This window comes from Homo sapiens, chromosome 4 (genome assembly GCF_000001405.40).
Source record: "Homo sapiens chromosome 4, GRCh38.p14 Primary Assembly".
Classification (NCBI taxonomy): domain Eukaryota; kingdom Metazoa; phylum Chordata; class Mammalia; order Primates; family Hominidae; genus Homo; species Homo sapiens.
The window spans coordinates 89488929-89508616 of record NC_000004.12 but is presented as its reverse complement, the minus strand read 5'-3'; the positions used below and the strand labels follow the sequence as shown (position 1 = coordinate 89508616).

General features: G+C 38.0%; 1 annotated feature.

Moving 5' to 3' along the window:
• Positions 18448-19040: an enhancer, noted in NCBI's record as "H3K27ac-H3K4me1 hESC enhancer chr4:90410728-90411320 (GRCh37/hg19 assembly coordinates)". NCBI's record gives its function as "activates a minimal SCP1, AML or CMV promoter by ChIP-STARR-seq in naive H9 embryonic stem cells {active_cell/tissue: H9 hESC(naive)}" and the evidence as "EXISTENCE:reporter gene assay evidence [ECO:0000049][PMID:30033119]".

The window sequence follows — 19688 nt, the reverse complement described above, 5'->3', positions numbered from 1 at the left end:
AGGAAGATGTTTGCCACCCTAACTATTGGCTAAAAGTTTTGGGCTTTACTCTGAGTGGACAAACCTGTGCCAAGTTCTTATCCTTGAACCAATCTCAGTCAGAAAGAGAATATAAATGTGCTCTTCAGCTTCTGCCTACTCAGATCCCCTGGCTTTGCCCAGTGGGGAAGGAAAACAGCAAATACTGGAGAAGCAACCAGTCAAATCAACAAGTAAAGTCAGAGATTTAAAGAGAATATTTTAATGACTGCTTTGTAAACTTTATCAATACTAAGGAATATATCACGTAAAGAGATAGAAGATGATAGGAAAGAATCCACCACATTTACATATCCATGAGCATATTTTATGCTTCTAAAAAAAATCATGACTTATTCTAATCTGAATTTTGTAAATTTTCAGTGTGTTTTCCTACTGAGAGTGTTTACTTTGAAGAAAGTTAAATTTTCCTATTTTTAGAGTTCTTAAAAATCTTTCTGAAAAAAAGGAGGTTCCACTACAAATGGCTCAATATTTATGGTGGAGAAAACATAAATCTAATTTATCATCCTTAGAAGTTACCCCTGATTCTTTTATATTGATTTCAAGATTTTATGAATACAACTTATTTTGCTTGACTATCTCTTTTGTTATCATAAACAGAATGTTCTTTTACCTGGGGTCAGAAATAAGAAAGCACTCTATTCGAGGGGAAAGGGTCCTAGATTAAAACACACAGCACATGACACATGCCAATCCCTTTTTGTTCCTTTTAATTTCAATATTATTCTCTTATTCCCAGAGGAGTCCTTGGAAAAGCGGGGCATATGAGTAGCTTGTGGAGGAGCTAAATAGCAGAGAACAGCTTTTAGCTTCTGAAGAATCAGGTCTTACAGATGTGCCTTCAATCTTTTGTATGAAATACTGGGAATTCCTAGAGCATCGACCACATTTATTCCAAAAGAAATGCCAAAATGTACTCCAAACATAAATATAAGTGATTTTTGGATTATCTAGTTTTGTTCCTCTCCAATAGCTTAGAATATTGAGTCAACAGCATGTGAACTTCTTATTCACAGTTAAACAGAATATAGCCTCCTCTGAATTATTTATGCTAATTATGGGGAAAGAGAAGAAATGTCACGAATAAATTAAATTTGTAGGTGAACAAAAATATCTGTATTTTCATGGAGTATTGTATTTATCCTTGAGCTAGAATGTCTCACAGTACAATTTCTTATAATGTTTTACCTATCAGACTTGAAGTTTTGGGGTGCCAATTTATAAGGAATTGAGGCAGGCACTACAACTACAATCAGCAAGTCATGGTTAGTCATCTCAAGGAATGTAAAGTCTTACAGAAGACACAGATAAGAATACTAAGGTTCACAAAACAGTAAGATAATTGCTACAATTGCTGTAGGGGAACAGGAACAGGAAGAGGGGGAGCCTGAACAATACAGAAATTCTAAAGCTAGGTAATATAGGAGCTGAATGTTCAACGATGAGGTATCTAGACAGCTGATGAGAAAAGGCATATGTGGCCAACGTACATGAAATAAAGAGATCCCGGGCTTGCAAAGAAAACCAAACAGTTCCATAGAGCTTTGGCCAGCTCCAGGCAGCAGTACAAATCTGGGGTGGGCTGCTGCCAGAGCCTTTTTTGGCATCACAAGCAGTTATGGAGTAAGACTAAAGTATCATGCAAAGAACCAAGCACCTAAAGATTTATTCCTTTAAAACATAGATTTCTGGACTCCACACCTAATCAAGAAATGAGAACACTGGAGCTGGCCCCAAGAATCTGTATTGTTAACAAATGATACAGATATTTTAAATGTTTACTAAAATATGAAAATTATTGTTTTATTACATGGAATGCACATTATAATCACCTGGGAAGCCTTAAAAGATGCCAGTGCCTGGACCCCACTGCAGATATTGTTACCCCGGCATCAGAAGTTTTTCATACCTCTCCAGTGATTCTAATGTGTACCAGTTTGAAAACCACTTGTCTGGGGAAACAGTCAGCATGTGTTTCCTTTTCTTTTTGCTGACATGTGTCCCCAGTGACTTTTTAGCAAAACAAAATCCATTTCTCTAAGTACTAAAACCCACTTTTACCAGCATCAAAGTAATGACAATCTGTTCTTTGTGTTTGGGTTTTCCAATAATTTGAAAAAGACCTTGCAGTCTAGTATAACCACCTAATTATGCCTAAATTCAAAAAAATAATCAAGATAACTGAAAGAAGGTTAGACAACACCAAAGCTTTAGGGGAAAAGTATCTGACACTTTCAAGTACTGTGCATTAGAATTAAATATTTCAGGAGCTCCACTTCGGGGAGATCCAGAACTTTTGCTTCATGAATGTAATTTGATGATGATATGTCTTTCTACACATGTGCATAAAACTACTAATCCCTGTGAATTTTCCAGTATAAATTCCTTCTTTTGTGGGCAGGCCTTTGTTGTATGATCATTTAGGAGACACATTCAGAGATGTTTTATCTCATTTGTTCATTTGCTTGTTTTTCCTAATAACTATTTATATTTATAATAAAACTGTAAGCTGCCTTCTAAATGGACCATCACCCTCGAACCTGCACTGTATAGTCATTACCTGTTGGACAGTACATCCTCTATTCATTAAGAAGGAAAAAGGAGGCAAACAGCTAGCAAGCTAATTTCCAGCTGTACCAGAGGATAGAAAGAATTTTTGGACTAATCTCATTGTTTTGGATACAACAACAGTGAAAAAGATAATAAAGAATATAAAAAAGATGGATATAAGAAGATAATCCATGCATTTGTTGGTTAAAATAATAGGAGCACCAGAATTTTTAGTACATGTTAATCAAGCAATAGAGGGAGAGATGGGAAGGAGTAAGAAAAAGGCAATAAACTATTCATCTTTATCTGTTGACGAAGATAATTCTTCACTGCTTTAAGTCTGGGGCCAATGTTATTTACTCTGGAAACTAAGGTGGCTGAAAAGAGCAAAGAACAAGGCCATGCCTAAGTTTGTGTGTGCTAAGTGGTGAAACAGCCACCCTTCTCCACAGTGTTCTCTCAAAACTGTTTCTACATATTGATGAGAAATGACAAAGAAAAGGTAAAATCCATTCTAAAGTGTCACCTTTATCACTTTCCTAGTAATGCCTTCAGGCCAGATAGGAGTATTTGTTTCATATTGTCCTAATAGGAAATGAACCTAATTAGATCCTATTTTGTTCTTGGCCTTATAAACGTAAGTATCACCATAAGCATTCATAATATTACACAAGGTATTGTCCATAGGAAACCAAATACATTTACTTTCTGTCTTCTTTGAGGCTAAAAACCAAAGGCAACTGATCCTATGAATGGGGCAGGCAAATACAACATGAGCCTGAAACATCTTGTAGTGCCAGAAAGTAGGAAGTAATGGGGCATGTCAAAGGACCCAAAAGCCAACCTAAAAGAGGTCACAATGATTAAAACTGGAACAATTTGAACAACAACGTAATTAACTCAGTACTAGATTATAATCCAAAGTACAAAGTAAATACCCATGAGTCCATACTGATGTAAATAAATGACTGAATAAATAAACAAATGGGGGCAGAAGAGACAAATCTTTCTTAAAGAAGAATTCTAAATAATTTATGTAGTTACTCTCCCCTCCAAAAGGTGGAGCTTAATTCCCGATTGATCCCTTTAGTGTGGAATGGATTTAGGAGTTGCTTCCAAACAATTGACATCATCATCAAATACTATCTAGGTATCCTGGATTGGGTCTTAGATCAGAAAATAATTGGTGAAAAAAACTAGTACTATTACCTTGAAGTAACAGTAATGTACCAGTGGTTTCTTAGTTTTGGCAAATGTGCCCTGATCGTATAAGATGTTAACAATAGGAGAAACTGGGTGAGACGTATATGGGACTCCCCATTCTATCTTTAAAACTTTTCTACGAATCTATTTCAAAATAAAAAGTATATTGCATATTAAAAAAATAAAAGGCAACATTATGAAAGTATATGGGATGATAATGTCAAAGTAAGAAGATTTATTTGACAAATGATATGCAGGTAATATTTTTAAACTTGTGAATTAAGTGCATTTTAGAGAGAAGCAGCCAAGGTCATACTATGAAAATGTTGTGCATAGAATTTAATATAGTTCCACTTCTTTGTGACAATTCAAGAAGGCTTTCTACATACACTAACTTCCATTTCCTAAAACAAACAAAATATCATATCCTTCAAGTGCTTTCAAAGGTAAATTTTCTGTAGGCCATATCAAACCTGAGACCACTATGCAATAGGGTAAAAACTTCAAATATTTTGCGCCAAGTACCCACCTAACATTTATTATTAGAGCCCTAATCTACCAGGTACCCTGACTTTTCTGTGAATTCATGATGGTGTTTCCCACTCTTCAACTGCCATATGCTTTATCTCCAGATGTAGTCTTATAGCCTCATTTACCACTTCCATACCGCTGCTATCACTAGCTTCTCTTAATTCTGTCATTTGGAGCGGGAGCAACAGAATTTGGAGAACAACATTTTTCCATCATAAAGTTTATAAATTTTGATCAGGGTTGGATAGTATGCAAAGTTATTTTGACCACCTCAGTTTTGTTTCTAGGTCAGAGTTTCTCAGAGTAGTGAATTGATATGTCAGAACCCCTTGACATATCAATTCCTGGCCTAGAACTACTGAGTTAGAATCTCTGCAGTAGGGTGCAGAAATCTAGCATTAACATTGGCTCCCAGGTGACATTTTTGTTCCCCACTATGGGAGGTTACAACTCTCTGGACTTCCCAAAAGATTTTCTATTTCTTTTGAGATGGAGTCTCGCTCTGTCGCCCAGGCTAGAGTGCAGTGGCGCGATCTCGGGTCACTGCAAGCTCCGCCTCCCGGGTTCACGCCATTCTCCTGCCTCAGCCTCCTGAGTAGCTGGGACTACAGGAGTCCGCCACTACGCCCAGCTAATTTTTTATATTTTTTTTTAGTAGAGACGGGGTTTCACCGTGTTAGCCAGGATGGTCTCGATCTCCTGACCTCGTGATCCACCCGCCTTGGCCTCCCCAAGTGCGGGGATTACAGGCGTGAGCCACCGCGCCCGGCCCAGGATTTTCATTCTTAGTTTTAGCTTCTTTCTGTGAAAGAATGTGAAACATTTTGGGGTAATCTCTTGTCTCCGCATGACTGTTGAGGTGTTCCAGATTTCAGAGGCTGAGGAAGCTCTGTCTTAACTCTTCATTAGGAAGAGTCTTATCAGTTCCAAAATAAAGGACTCATAGAAATAAAACTTCTGTGACTGTTTCTCAATCTCCACCTTTCCAAGGATGCTATCCAAATAAGGCCCCTACTACCACCCAGCTATGGACAGCTTCTTTGAGAAGTGTTCATACACATTTAAACATTGTTTTAATCACTTGCTTCACTTTCTTCATAGATTTCTTCCCACACTTACTATACTAATAATATAATAGGTTTCATATACATGATGTAGTAGAGAATTAGGTTGAACCTATATGAATAACAGATCGTTTAAGCTGATACTACATAGTTTAAAGATTCTCTGAAAAGATATTTCTTTTCTCAAAGCTAGAATAATTTGAAAAGTGTATGTGGCTTGTACTTGTTCAACTTTTCTTTCATAGCTAAACTTTCCATTGCCTGCCTCACTGTGGACACATCATTCTCATTTTCTTCTTTTTTCATTTAAAGTGGTCAAATTGTCTTTCATGTTAATTAGCTTTAAACAAGAGAAAGAATCTGTGTGTGTGTAATATCCAACTCCAGATAGGTATTATTTCATTAACTTCATGCTTTGGAGATATAATGGTTCATTGTTATACCACAACACAGCAGGTATAAATTAAATCTGAATGGGTTATTCATTAAACAGACAGTGTGAAGTATCCGGAAAAGCAAGGTCCCTTCACTTAATTTAATGGTATTTTCCCCATAAAATCACAATGTTGCTCTAGTAGTTCAAACACATACCTATTTTAATTAATTTCTAAATTCTTTACTCAAAAATAGTAACTTCAAAAAAAGAGATTAATGCTGATTTCAACATAAGACAAAACAAACCTAGAATGCCAGCCTCATTGATGTTCCTAGGCAAATGTGACTGATACCTGTACATATGTTTTTGTTTGTGGATACGATATTTCCCAAGAAAATATTATGCAAAAAGCTTTTGATGTCCACTAAAATATCAAATTTAATTAAGAAATACTAGTAGTTTTTAAATTACTTATTCCTTTAATATTCTGAATTCTGAAGTAACAGTGTAGACAAGGTTACATTGATTAATAAAGTCCTTTAAACAAAAACGCTTTGAGTTCTGAAAACCTTTCTTAAGGGTTTCTTAAAGGGTTTAAGAACAAATGCAAATACAGTAGACATTTTCCCTGCCCTTACAGAATCTGGAACCTAGTGCTATTATTATTTCTAAAAGTATAGTGACTCTGTCATTTTCACACTAGGTAGATTCATAGCTTACTAATCCATAAGTTTTTTTAGTACTTAATTGTTACTGTCTCAACACACAACAAAGAAACAAATAGGAAATTTTAAACATGGTAGAAACATAAGCATACATCAAAGATGAAATAATTCATGAAGGCATTAACAGTTTTACAGAATTAGTAATCATATCGCTTCTTGGCCTTTTGGCTAAGACCAAGTGTGGTAATCACAGCATTTATTATATGATTCAGCCAATTATATAGTAAAATTAGAAAACAAGAAACTATCTGAAAAAATGCTAATTCTGTGATATAAATTACAGTCCCTAAAAAATTAGGAGTTGATCTTTAGGAAGTTTATTAGAAGAAATAAGCCCTGAATGCAGAAAGTCAAGATCTTGTCCTTTCCAAGTAAATGATAATATGATGTAAATAAATGGAGGAAAGGCTATCTCTTCCACTCGCCTATAAAAGTATGAAATTCTTAGCCTCTTCTGATTGTTACTCTTTAGAAAATCATATTATGTAAATTAATTAGGAAGATTAATTTTAAGTAATTCACAAAAATCCTGAAAATTTTTCATTGTGAAATTAATATTATACACACGTATTAAAATGTAAAGCTTAGTCATTTTACAACCTAATCCATAAATCAAGAATGACCTAGAAACTGTTTGGTTTCTCCCAACTGTTGGTTCAGCTCAACCTGTCCATTTGCCATTACTAAGTCAGTAAAGAACTTCTGCTGGTCATCTAAGGAAACTATAATATAAATTGTGATAATCTCATTTTCCATAAACCTGTAAACAAGAGATAAACTGAATAGAGAAAGCACAAATGGATTCACCATCCCCTTGGAAAAAAATAAGTTTTAAATTATCCTACAAAAAGCCTCTTTGAAATATGGGACATGCTGTTTTACAGTAAGAAAAAAAGAAAAGCAAGAATCTGAAGATTCTCAAGAGGTACTAGGATAAATGAAGAAAGAAATGGAACATGAAGAATAATGATATACATTCATTGCAAATTCAGGAAGCTTTTTTCCTCTTGTCTAATTTAAAAATTGGACTCACAAGCCTGCAATTCTGCCAGTATTACTTTGCCTTTATCATACAGTAGGACAATTTTATTTGTTCACGTAATATAAGCAATTTCAGAAAAGATTTAATGAAAACAAAATCTCAGCAGTAGCATTTTTGTATTTCACTGAATAGTTTTAGAAACATCCAGAACTATCACTTTATTAAAATTCTAGGAATTGACTTAAGTGTGTAAAGGTTTTCAGTTTCCTATTTTCCAATTTTGATGTTATAAGACTGAAAAAAAAAAGTCTATCAAAAAAGGAGGAAAAGGAGGTACAGGAAGAGAGAAGGATGAGGAGGTGGTGGTGAGAGCAAAGTGTTAGCAATTATATCAGTATTATTGTATGGCTCATTCTGGTCATTTAAAAACCCAAGTAAGAGTGAAGAGTAGTGATGGAACAGAAAAAAAGTATTTATGTAAAATATTGATAGTAGGGAAGGTCACCAATTGAATCAAGTTTCAATTATTGTATAATTTAGATCAAAACAGCCCCTACATAGGCAGCTGTTCTATTACAAATTGCATATAAGTTACAAATCAGCACCTGGTTGTATTGACAAGATATGCTCCTTGTCCAAACTTTAGTCAGTCTCCTCTGAACCCTATACCCAACTAAGTTTCAACCTGTGGAATTTTCTGTCTCTGCATTGTGCTATTTTAGCAGAAGTCCTAAGTCAGTTTAGCAAGCATCCCCCATCCTTAATATCTGATCACCCTCAGTATCTTTCTTCTTTTTTTTTTTTTCTTTTGAGACAGAGTCTCACTCTGTTGCTCAGGCTGGAGCACAGTGCTGTGATCTGAGCTCACTGCAACCTCTGACTCCTGGATTCAAGCGATTCTCCTGCCTCAGCCTCCTGAGTAGCTGGGAGTAGAGGCACGCACTACCACACCTGGCTAGTTTTTGTATTTTTAGTACAGATGGGGTTTCACCATCTTAGTCAGGCTTGTCTTGAACTCCTGACCTCAGGTGATCCACCCGCCTCTGCCTCCCAAAGTAATGGATTACAGACCTGAACCACCACCCCTGGCCTGATCACCCTTGGTATCTGATCAAGTTCCTCATCCTTCACACACCTTCCAGATCTGATCACCCTTGCCTCCCTCTGGTGAGAATCCTGTTAGGTTTGTTTAATCAGAATCCCCAACTTCTGATGTTTCCTCTTTGTAATTTTTCATCCATTGACCCCCAACCTGATCCTTAACTATAAATCCCCTCTTGCCCATGCTGTTTTCAGAATTGAGCCCAGTTCGACACTGAAGTCTCAACAGTTCCCAAATGAACTCCTTTACTATCCAGCTCTGGTTTTCCTTTAAAACACTCAATTAAATATTTTGTTACATATCACTTTCTATGGTCCTCTGTTTCACACTGCTAATATACATCTTGAAAAATACTAAAACTCTCAGTCCCTTGAGATCTAAAGTATGCTATATATTTCTCTCATGCTCCCCTGTTGCTCCTTCCACAGGTAGCCAGCAGAGAAATAATAAATACTCCAAAGATATAAGTAAATTACACAGGAATGGGATTGGCTTCCTTAAAGATTGAGTAGGGAGGTACATTTTCAGTCTTGAATTATTTGCTTCTACCAGCAGAGATATATGTTAACATCTTCCAAAGCTGCTTTTTGAGATGTCCTTCTCATTGAATGACTTTAAGACTAAAAAAGTCTGAAAGTCTTAAAGTTAGTTGCTAACAGAGCTATCAAGGTTTAAGGACTCAAAAAGAAAGTTCAAAATCTACCTAGTATACTTAGAATTCATTTGACAGATTTTCCCCTAAAATGAAGAAAGTAAAGGGAAATGGAATAATGTAACATGCATAGGCTTTCTCTAGAATAAAAATGTCTCTTCCAAAATAAAACTTCATGTCCCATATTTTCTAAAAACCCAGTTTCAATTTCTATGGGAAAGATGCACATAATGCTATTACTTGCCAGCTAAGGGATGTGACCTGAAGAACTAGCTACTTCTTTGCTGCCTTTCTTAACACCCAATATGGCCGCATCCAAGCACTACCATTGGTCATCCTTGCATGCATGGACTGTGAACACGAAAGAGGGACTGTGCCAAATTTGTGACTAACTTAATGCACAGATACTAAATTACTGGTTTTGTCTAGTTTTCATTTTTATAGAAAAAAGAAACCAAGTAATTATGAATCTAAATAGTAATAATAACAATCCTGCAAATTTGTATAATGCTAACACATTTATAAATTAATGTTGTAGACATTTTCTCATCTGACCATCACTACAAATCTCTGGAGTGGACCTAACAATTATTATCTTTATTTCACAGGAAATGGAAATCTGACTTAGAGAAGCTTTAATTCACTATACCTAAATTTTTAACCCCAGGGACATTCAATAATACCAAGCAGAAATATGCCTCTTGGAGATACCATTTGAAAACGACATGGTGATATTCTGATGGACTAGAAACCATGTAAGATATGAGATATCAAGTATCTCCTACTTTGCTATATCAAGTGATGTGCAGGGAAAGAATTCTATGGCCCAACTAGAACTTAAGTAATACGAATGTCTGCTATAATAGATTTCACTCTATTTAACATGTGATTTTTCCTTTTTGGTATGACTTAAAAAAAAAAATAAGTCAACTGGGCATGGTGGCTCATGCCTGCAATCCCAGCACTTTGGGAGGCCAAGGCAGGAGGATCGCTTGAGCTCAGGAGTTTGAGAACAGCTCTGGCAACATAGCGAGACCCCGTCTCCATACACACACACACACGAAAAAAAATTAAAAAAAGAATTCAATAGAATTTAGTAAAACAATTTAGCATGCATTTTAAAGATCAAACCATTACTATACACCTATGGAATTACATTGTTATCACTTTTATAAGGAATTGCCCTTTATCCACAAGCGTCATCCAAAACTAATAAAATAAGTGATAAATTTCCTTTTAACAAAGTAAACATTGTGTTCTACTGTGATGACCAAACATTCTACCAGTAAATGTCAAAGGTTGGGAACAGGGAACTCTTGTTTGAGATGACGGAAGGACGTTTCCTGAAAGAAGAGCCTGGCAAGCAACACTGGAAAATCTACTCTTTAAACTTCCCTTTATAAATCCCAATGAAGCACCTCTCCCACTTGCAACATAGATAAAATGGAAATATTCTCATTCCTCTTTTCTATATTAGTGTTTATATGTTTTATAAACATATGTAGAGGCTTATGTTTCACATTTGTGTTTTTAAAATAACAATATACTTTGAAAGGTGAATCCAATGTTATTGAAACATAAGTCTACAAACCTTGGAGTTCAGTTACAAAGGTCCCATTGGGACAATTTTCTTTTTTTCCCTGAATGTCACAACAGCTTTGGGTCACCAGTAATTTTCCTTTGCTTTTCTTCCTCTCCTTGCCATGATCCAACCATGCCAGCAGGGAATCGGCATGATGCTTTGCAGCCAGCTTCAAAAAAGCTACATCTTCCCTAATGAGGCACTAAGAGGAGACAGCCACAGAGTCTGATAAAATTCCACTATGTAACTTTTGATGCTTCTAGCTCCATCTTCCACCCAAATCAGATGAAAGTAAGGAAATATATAAGATCATGAAAAATACAGTAATAGAGATATCATAGCCAGGTGTATCCACAACATGGAGACCCACACAGCTTTGAAATTTATTTAACTCAGTATTATTAGAACTCAAAGATTTTAAGAGTTAAAATTTTAAATCATGCTGGGCATTATTTCAATTTTTATCACAAATTGCCTTGACAATGAAATGAAAATCATTTTCTGACCTAAAAATGTACTGTAATATGATTAAAATATTCCTATAATTAAAAGAGAAAACTTGAATGATCTGAAGTCTAACCAAACTACACAGAATGACTTCAGCCCTGACAAAAGCCCTCATGGGACCCTGCTTTAGTAAACGTAGATGTTATGGTGGGAGGTTCCCCACCTCTGTTGTCTGCTGCCAGGTGAACATCTGTTTGTGGGTAGACCACAGACCAATCAAGATCAACACTAAGGTTGAGTCCTGCATAGGCCTGTGGAACCCTGGAGTAAGGGGAATTAAGGTAATAGAGAACATTCCTTACATTCTTTTCTTCAGCATAATTCCATGACTGTATTTCTATTCCACAGTTTGGGTTAAATACAAGTTATAAGCCAGATAGCTTAAAATTTCAAAACTTTTCTCCAGACAATTCAAATGTGCTCTAGTGAAGAAGAGTGGAGATTTTCTGCATTGTCATCATGAGCGTTTAGACACATGGACTCATCTGGAAGACCCATGGAGCTGACCAAGAGCCCACCTGGACAGCCTCCTGAGAAAGACTGCATTACCTGGCTTCGGAGGAGAGATGCCAAATACCACTCAGAATGTCCTCACTTTGTTGTCTAGTCGAGACCTCATGGTCTCCTATAAAAGTTATTAAGATAAAATTCCTACAAGAAAAAAAACATTGATTTTACAGAGAAATTTTTGTGATATACTGGGAACACAATGCTGGAGTGATCTGAGCCAAAATGAGGCTCTCAGGAACAAGTCTAACAATTCCTTCTTAGCCCACTGCACACAGACCCCAAATGGGGCTATTATCTCCATAGGTGTACAAGCAGTGTCCTTATAGAAAAAAATTCTTGGTAGCTTGAAACACTCAGAACATGTGAGTGTCTGAAATACTCAGAAATACCCAAAAGAATCTGATTTTAAGCAGCATCCTTTCACTATATAGTACATTGTTGGGATAACTGGGAAAATCTGAATGAAGTCTAAGGATTAGCTAAATAGTGGTATTTATTTCCATATTTGGATGATTGAATGGTTGTATAAGGGAAAGTCCTTTTTTTATATGAAATGCATAACAAAGTACTTGTGATCATAGGCTATCAGGTCTGCAAGTTACTTTCTAATGATTGAAGAAAATAAAAGTTATATGTATTAAGCTTGCAACTTTTTATAAGTAAAGATTCCTTTAATTTTTGCATTTATTTGTTTACTAGTTTTTGCTTATATGTGCTTTTAAAAATTACAAATACACACACGTACACACTCCACAACCTGGCCTAAACCTGTTATTCCAGTATTTTTACTTATTATTCCCCTTCATAAATCCTGTACTCCCATTTGTCTAGTTTATTGGCTGTTCCCCAACATAGTCTGAAGACTTTTCCACTGACATGACTTTGCTTTAATTGTTACCCTCACCCAAGGAACTTTCCCAGCAAAAAATCTGCCATCAAATTCTACTCATCCCTGAAGACCTGTTTAAATGGCATTGTCTCCATTAAATCTTCTACCAGAGCCTAGTCTGATGCTTCATACCTAGTATGGGCTCAGAATATATCTGGCGAAAAGAATTCAGTCACTTAGGATTGGAACACTTAATGGTAAGTTAATAGAAATTGTACATGAGAAATTAGTCCAAAGGTAGATGAACACTTAACTTTTACTCTATGAATACGAGGTAAAGAATGTATTATTCAGGGTTCCCCAGAGAAACAGAACCAATATATAAAGAGATTTTATTTTAAAGTATTATCTCACACAATGATAGAGGTGGAGAAATCCCACAATCTAAGAGATGCAGGAAAGACAGTGGTGTTTTTTGAAGGAAGGCCTGAAAGCTGGAGGGCCATGGTATAGAATCCAACGTGGGCCTGAAGGCTGAGAACTAGGAGTGCTGAGAGGAGTAGATCCATTCCAAGCTCAAGGAGTCAGGCAGAGAGCAAATTCAAACTTCCTCTGCCTTTTTGTTCTATTCAGGCCCTGAATGGTTTTGATAATGCCCACCCACACTGGGAGAGAACATCTGCTTTACTCAGTCCACTGATTCAAACACCAGCCTCTTCCAGAAATGTCCTCAAAGACACATGCAGAAATAATCTTTAACCAGCTATCTGGGCATCCCATGGCCCAGTCAAGCTGACACATAAAATTAGCCATTACAAACAAGAAGGTCAAAAATGGAGATATAAAGTGGTTATCTGCAGGTAAATTTGAGACTGCAATGTAAAGAACCATGAGAAAGAGTGTAGAAGAGATTCAAATAATTGTAGCTGGCAGTATAGAAACCTAGCCTTGCTATCTTGAAGCACTGGCTAATCAACTAGAAGTCTATTAAAACAAAATAAACTAGAAAGCTATTGAAACAAAAAATAAATGAAGACATTTTCATGTACAAGCAATTAAACAAAGCAAGACAAGAGCTCTAAATATACAGATAGTATGTTTAGATATAATTTTGTTTGATTGAAGAAATATGGGGTTGGATCACAGGAAAAGATTAAAGATAATCCTAAAACACTGTTAGGGGTAGAACAGTCCCCTAAAATGACATATTCTGACTATATATTTCCTAAACCATTTTCTTCAGAAAAGATGCTCTAAATTTAAAATGCAGTCATGAGTCGCTTAACAACAGGGAAACATTCTGAGAAATGTGTTGCTAGGCATTTTTGTCATTTTGTGAACATCCTAGAGTGTACTTATACAACCTTGATGGTATAACCTACTACACACCTAGGCTAGTTGGTATAGCCTATTGCTCCTAGGCTACAAACCTGTACAGCATGTTACTGTACTGAATACTACAGGCAGTTGTAATACACTGGTGGGTACTGACATTCCTAAACACAGAAACAGTACAGTAAAAATACAATACAAAAGATAAAAAATGGTACACATATACAGGGCACTTACTATGAATGGAGCTTGAAGGACTGGAAGTTACTCTGGGTGAATCAATGAGCGCGCGGTGCATAAATGTGAAGGCCTAGGCCATTACTCTAAACTACTGTAGACTTTATAAATATTGTACACTTTGGTTACACCAAACTTATTTTTAGAAATTTTTCTTTCTTTAATAATAATTAATCTTAACTTACTGTAACTTTTTTATTCATAAATTTCTTAAGTTTTTAAACTTTTTTGACTCACATAGTAACATTTAGCTTAAAACACAAATGCATTGTACGGTTGTAAAAAATTTTTTACATCTTTATTCTACAAGCTTTTCCTATTTTTAAAATTCTTAATTTTTACTTTTTAAAATGTTTTGTTAAAAACTAAGACACAAACACATACATTAGCCTAGGGCTACACGGGATCAGGATCATCAATATCACTATCTTCCACCTCCACATCTTGTCCTACTAGAAGATTTCCATGGGCAATAACATGCATGGAGCTGTCATCTCCTGTAACCATAGCTTCCTCTGGAATACCTCCTGAAGGACCTGCCTAAAGCTGCTTTACATTTAATTTACATATATATATATGTATATATATATAGGAGTACACTGTAAAATAACAAGTACAATTACAGTACTTACAGAAACCAATAACAGTTGTTTATTATCATTATCAAATATTATGTACTATACATAATGTATGTGCTTTACTTTTATACAACTGGCAGTGCAGGAGGTTTGTTTACACCAGCATCAGCACAGACATATGAATAATGCGTTATGCTACTATCAGAGGCATTCAAACCACAGTGACTCCATCTTGAAAAGCGGCTGGGTAAAATGAGGCTGAGACCTACTGGGTTGCTTTCCCAGGAGGTTGGCATTCTTAGTCACAGGATATCTACAGTTGGGTCTGTTATATCCTGGGTCTGTTAAGTCCTGGGTCTGGCAGGAAATAACAGACCCGGGAAATGTCCTGATGTCCCAGTATCTTAAGAACAAAAGCATTCTTAGTTTAAGAATAAGTTTCACTTCAAAGATAAAAATATAGACTATTAAGACAGTAGTTATACACCGATTAACAATCTTTTTGTCACAGCCCTTGTAACAGAGCACCTCTCTTCCACGATATTTTGTTTTCTTACCTTAGTGCAAACAAGCATTGTACCTAATGTGGATGTGTTCCTCCTCTTGCTTCTGGGAATGCCCTGCTCTGTCTATGGAGTAGCTATTCTTTCATTCCTTGCTTTCTTAATAAACTTGCTTTTACTTTGCTCTGTGAACTCACTCCTAATTCTTTTCTTGCACAAGATCCAAGAATCCCCTTTTGGGGTCTGGAAAGGGGCTTCTTTCTCTCAACACTGGAACGTCACTAGGCAATAGGAATTTCTTGGCATCATTATAATCTTATGGTACCACCATTGTTTATACAGCCCATCATTGACCAGCATGTCATTGTGCAACACATGACTGTATATGTATTAGTCATAGTTATGAAAGGCCAAGCATATAACTGCTAAAGAGACAAAGTATTCCAGCTTCTCCTTGAATTTTCTGTCAAATAAAACCTAGAAGTCAATGATGGTAATTCCTATACATCCGGAGTATTTCATCACAGGGCTACGATGAATTGAGCAGACATTGCAGACTGTTACATTAATATGAATTCTACATTTTAAGAGGACTTCCTCCAAAGATGGGAAAAAGAACAAAAACGGTTTCAGTTTCTTAAGGAAAATATTGGAATTATGCCAGTTTTCAAGAATCAGCAGTTTGGCAAATGAAAATCTCACAAAACATAAATAAATAATTTTATAATCAAAGTTGCCATAGTGCAACATCTGTCACTTCACCCTTAACCTTAAACTGTTTTTCTCTATGACATTTTAGGAGGTTCAATATTTCTATTAAGCTGTGGATCACCTATTTCTTAATACTTCACTAACCAGTTCACTTGTAATACCCAAGAAATAAATCTTTCAGGATCTTTACAAAGAAATGCATTTTTATAAAGATTTCCTGAGTAAAATATATTGATCTCAAAAAGGCTTGGAACATCTCTGTTTATTTATGCCTTCATGTTTCCCTGTTTCTAGCATCTCCCACAGACAGATAAGCTAGATTTCTTTTTCTTTCTCACAGCAGTCTCCTGAGTCTAGTGTGCCTTGAGTAGAAGACCGTTAAGACACTTTCTGAACCTGAGATTCAGTCATCTATGAATGTAAAAGGTCTTTGAAGTGATCAATTAGAATTAACATTGTAGGTTTCAAGTCCCTTTAGCTTTCTCCTTTTCAAAGCCGAAAATTAAACTCATTAGGCAAAAAGAAATCAGGAGGCCAATTTTTTGCAAATTATGGTTCCCTTGGGGTGCTTTCCTAGGGAAGAATTAAAGGATAAGAAGCTCATTTGCACTCTAGGAATGAATAATAATGGCTTATAATGACCATGACAATAAGCACCAGCCTATGCAGTCTAGGGCTTAGAATAAATCAGGGTGGATCTAATACGTAACAGGCAGTTGGCAGAGGGCCTAATGAGAAAGGCAATGATTTCTGTCATGCCTTTCCATTAATTTGTGGTTTGCTTTTTGTGGGTATTGATCTGTAGGTGACCTTTAAGAAACGTCTCTTCCAGGCATGCTTGGTTTCTCTTATCTCTTGATTTGGAGATCACCAGATGTTACTGAGGAAGACCAAGAAGAGAAAAATATGTCTGAAATATGTTAAGAAGGCCTAAGCAAATATTCAGTCTATTTTAGTCTATTTGAGTGAGTTGCTAAGCCTAAGATATTAATAATTGTCAAGAGGGTTATTTGGGAAAACCCAGCAAATTGTAGTAAATCTCTTTCTAAATCAAATATTTCCTGAACTGAATTGTGAGTGGAATAGTAAAAACACTTCACACTTACAAAGTCGATGATACCGCAACATCTTCTTAAATTCTTCCATAAAATAACACTATCATTCTTTCATCCATAAGTGGAATATTCTGAGGCCAGCTGCGTCTATGATAGAAACAGGAAGCAGCCAAGTCCCCCTGTGTCCGGAATTGGGGGGTTCTTGGTCTCCCTGACTTCAAGAATGAAGCCGCGGACCCTCGAGGTGAGTGTTACAGTTCTTAAAAGCGGCGTGTCCGGAGTTTGTTCCTACTGATATTCGGATGTGTTCCGAGTTTCTTCCTTCTGGTGGGTTCGTGGTCTCGCTGGCTCAGGAGTGAAGCTGCAGACCTTCGCGGTGAGTGTTACAGCTCTTAACGCGGCGCATCTGAAGTTCTTCGGTCCTCCCGGTGGGCTCGGGGTCTCACTGGCTCCAGGAGTGAAGCTGCAGACCTTCGCAGTGAGTGTTACAGCTCATAAAGCCAGTGCAGACCCGAAGAGTGAGCAGCAGCAACATTTATTGCAAAGAACCAAAGAACAAAGTTTTCAAAGGGTGGAAGGGGACCCCAGCGAGTTGCCACTGCTGGCTGGGGCAGCCTGCTTTTATTCTCTTATCTGGCCCCACCCACATCCTGCTGATTGGTAGAACCCAGTGGTCTGTTTTGACAGGGCACTGATTGGTGCGTTTACAATCCCTGAGCTAGACACAAAGGTTCTCCACCTCCCCACCAGAGTAGCTAGATACAGAGTGTCCATTGGTGCATTCACAAACCCTAAGCTAGAAACAGGGTGCTGATTGGTGTGTTTACAAACCTTGAGCTAGATACAGAGTGCCGATTGGTGTATTTACAATCCCTGAGCTAGACATAAAGGTTCTCCAAGGCCCCACCAGAGTAGCTAGATACAGAGTGTGGATTGGTGCATTCACAAACCCTGAGCTAGAAACAGGGTGCTGATTGGTGTGTTTACAAACCTTGAGCTAGATACAGAGTGCCGATTGGTGTATTTACAATCCCTTAGCTAGACGTAAAGGTTCTCCAAGTCCCCACCAGACTCAGGAGCACCCAGCTGGCTTCACCAGGTGGATCCCGCACGGAGGCTGCAGGTAGAGCTGCCTGCCAGTCCCGAGCAGTGCACGCCAGCACTCCTCAGCCCTTGGGTGATCGATGGGACTGGGTGCCGTGGAGCCGGGGGCAGCGCTCGTGGGGGAGGCAGGAGCCCACGGAGGAGCGGGGAGGCTCAGGCATGGCGGGCTGCAGGTCCCGAGCGCTGCCCCGTGGGAAGGCAGCTAAGGCCCCGCGAGAAATTGAGCACAGCAGCTGCTGGCCCAGGTGCTAAGCCCCTCACTGCCGGGGGCCGGCGGGGCCGGCAGGCCGCTCCAAGTGTGGGGCCTGCCGAGCCCACGCCCACCTGGTACTCGCACTGGCCTGCAAGCACCACGCGCAGCCCCGGTTCCCGCCCGCGCCTCTCCCTCCACACCTCCCTGCAAGCTGAGGGAGCCAGCTTCGGCCTTGGCCAGCCGAGAAAGGGGCTCCCACAGTGCAGCGGCGGGCTGAAGGGCTCCTTAAGTGCCGCCAAAGTGGGTGCCCAGGCAGAGGAGGCGCCCAGAGCAAGCGAGGGCTGTGAGGACTGCCAGCATGCTGTCACCTCTCACCCCGACCCCCATCCCCCCAGGTTAAACCCTGCCTTCAAGCCTAAAACAGCCTGAGGACTGAAAAACTGAACTGCCAGTCCCGGATGAAGCCCGCCCTTTCCCCACCGCCCTGCAACCCCCCCACCCCCACTAACACCCTCCCCACCCCGCCACCACACCCCCTCCCACACCACCCCTTATTCTTTCTGAAGACGGAAAGAGAAGCTGTGCACTGAGAGGCCGCGGTGGGGCATCGGGAAGTTCCACTGTTTGCAGGGAGGAGAAGCCTGGCCTAGGCTCTCCTGTTCCGGGGTGGTGACCTGGGATTCAGTCTGTGAGATGGAGGCCTGTTAACAGGAACTCCTATCGCTTTGCTGAGTTTTTTTTCCTTTTCGCCCAATACATTTCGTTCCCCCTCACCCTTCAAAGTGTCTGCGAGCCTAATCTTTCCTGGTCGTGTCACAGGAACCCACTGTTTTCCTACAATATCTATACAAACAAACTCATAAATCATGTGGCTTCCGCTGGTCTTTTGAAAAAAGAGCAAATTAACTTGAAACTAAATGTTAACATTTTAAACAACCAATTAGAAACTAGTATTGAAAATTAGTTGTTTGGTTAAGACAAGCTGTATGTTCTATAAAGTAATGATTGATTTTGTCATTTTGGGAGAAAAATGTTTAAAAAGAATTGGTCCCTTGGTATGTAAATACTAAGTTCCAGAGAAAAAACATAGTCTAAAATTCAAGAGCTGAGTAGCACTGTGTTGAATTTTACTGTTTTCAATTATTAACAAATTCTTATTTTTAGTTACTCTCAAAATTTGTTAAGACACTAAACAGTATAGTGTAGCAAATGTTTCAAAGTTAATGAGAATTATTAATGGTAATTTTTATCATATGCCCTCCCTACAATGCTAGTAGATTAATAACTAAATACGGAAGTTACCCACAGCTTGGCTGCCAG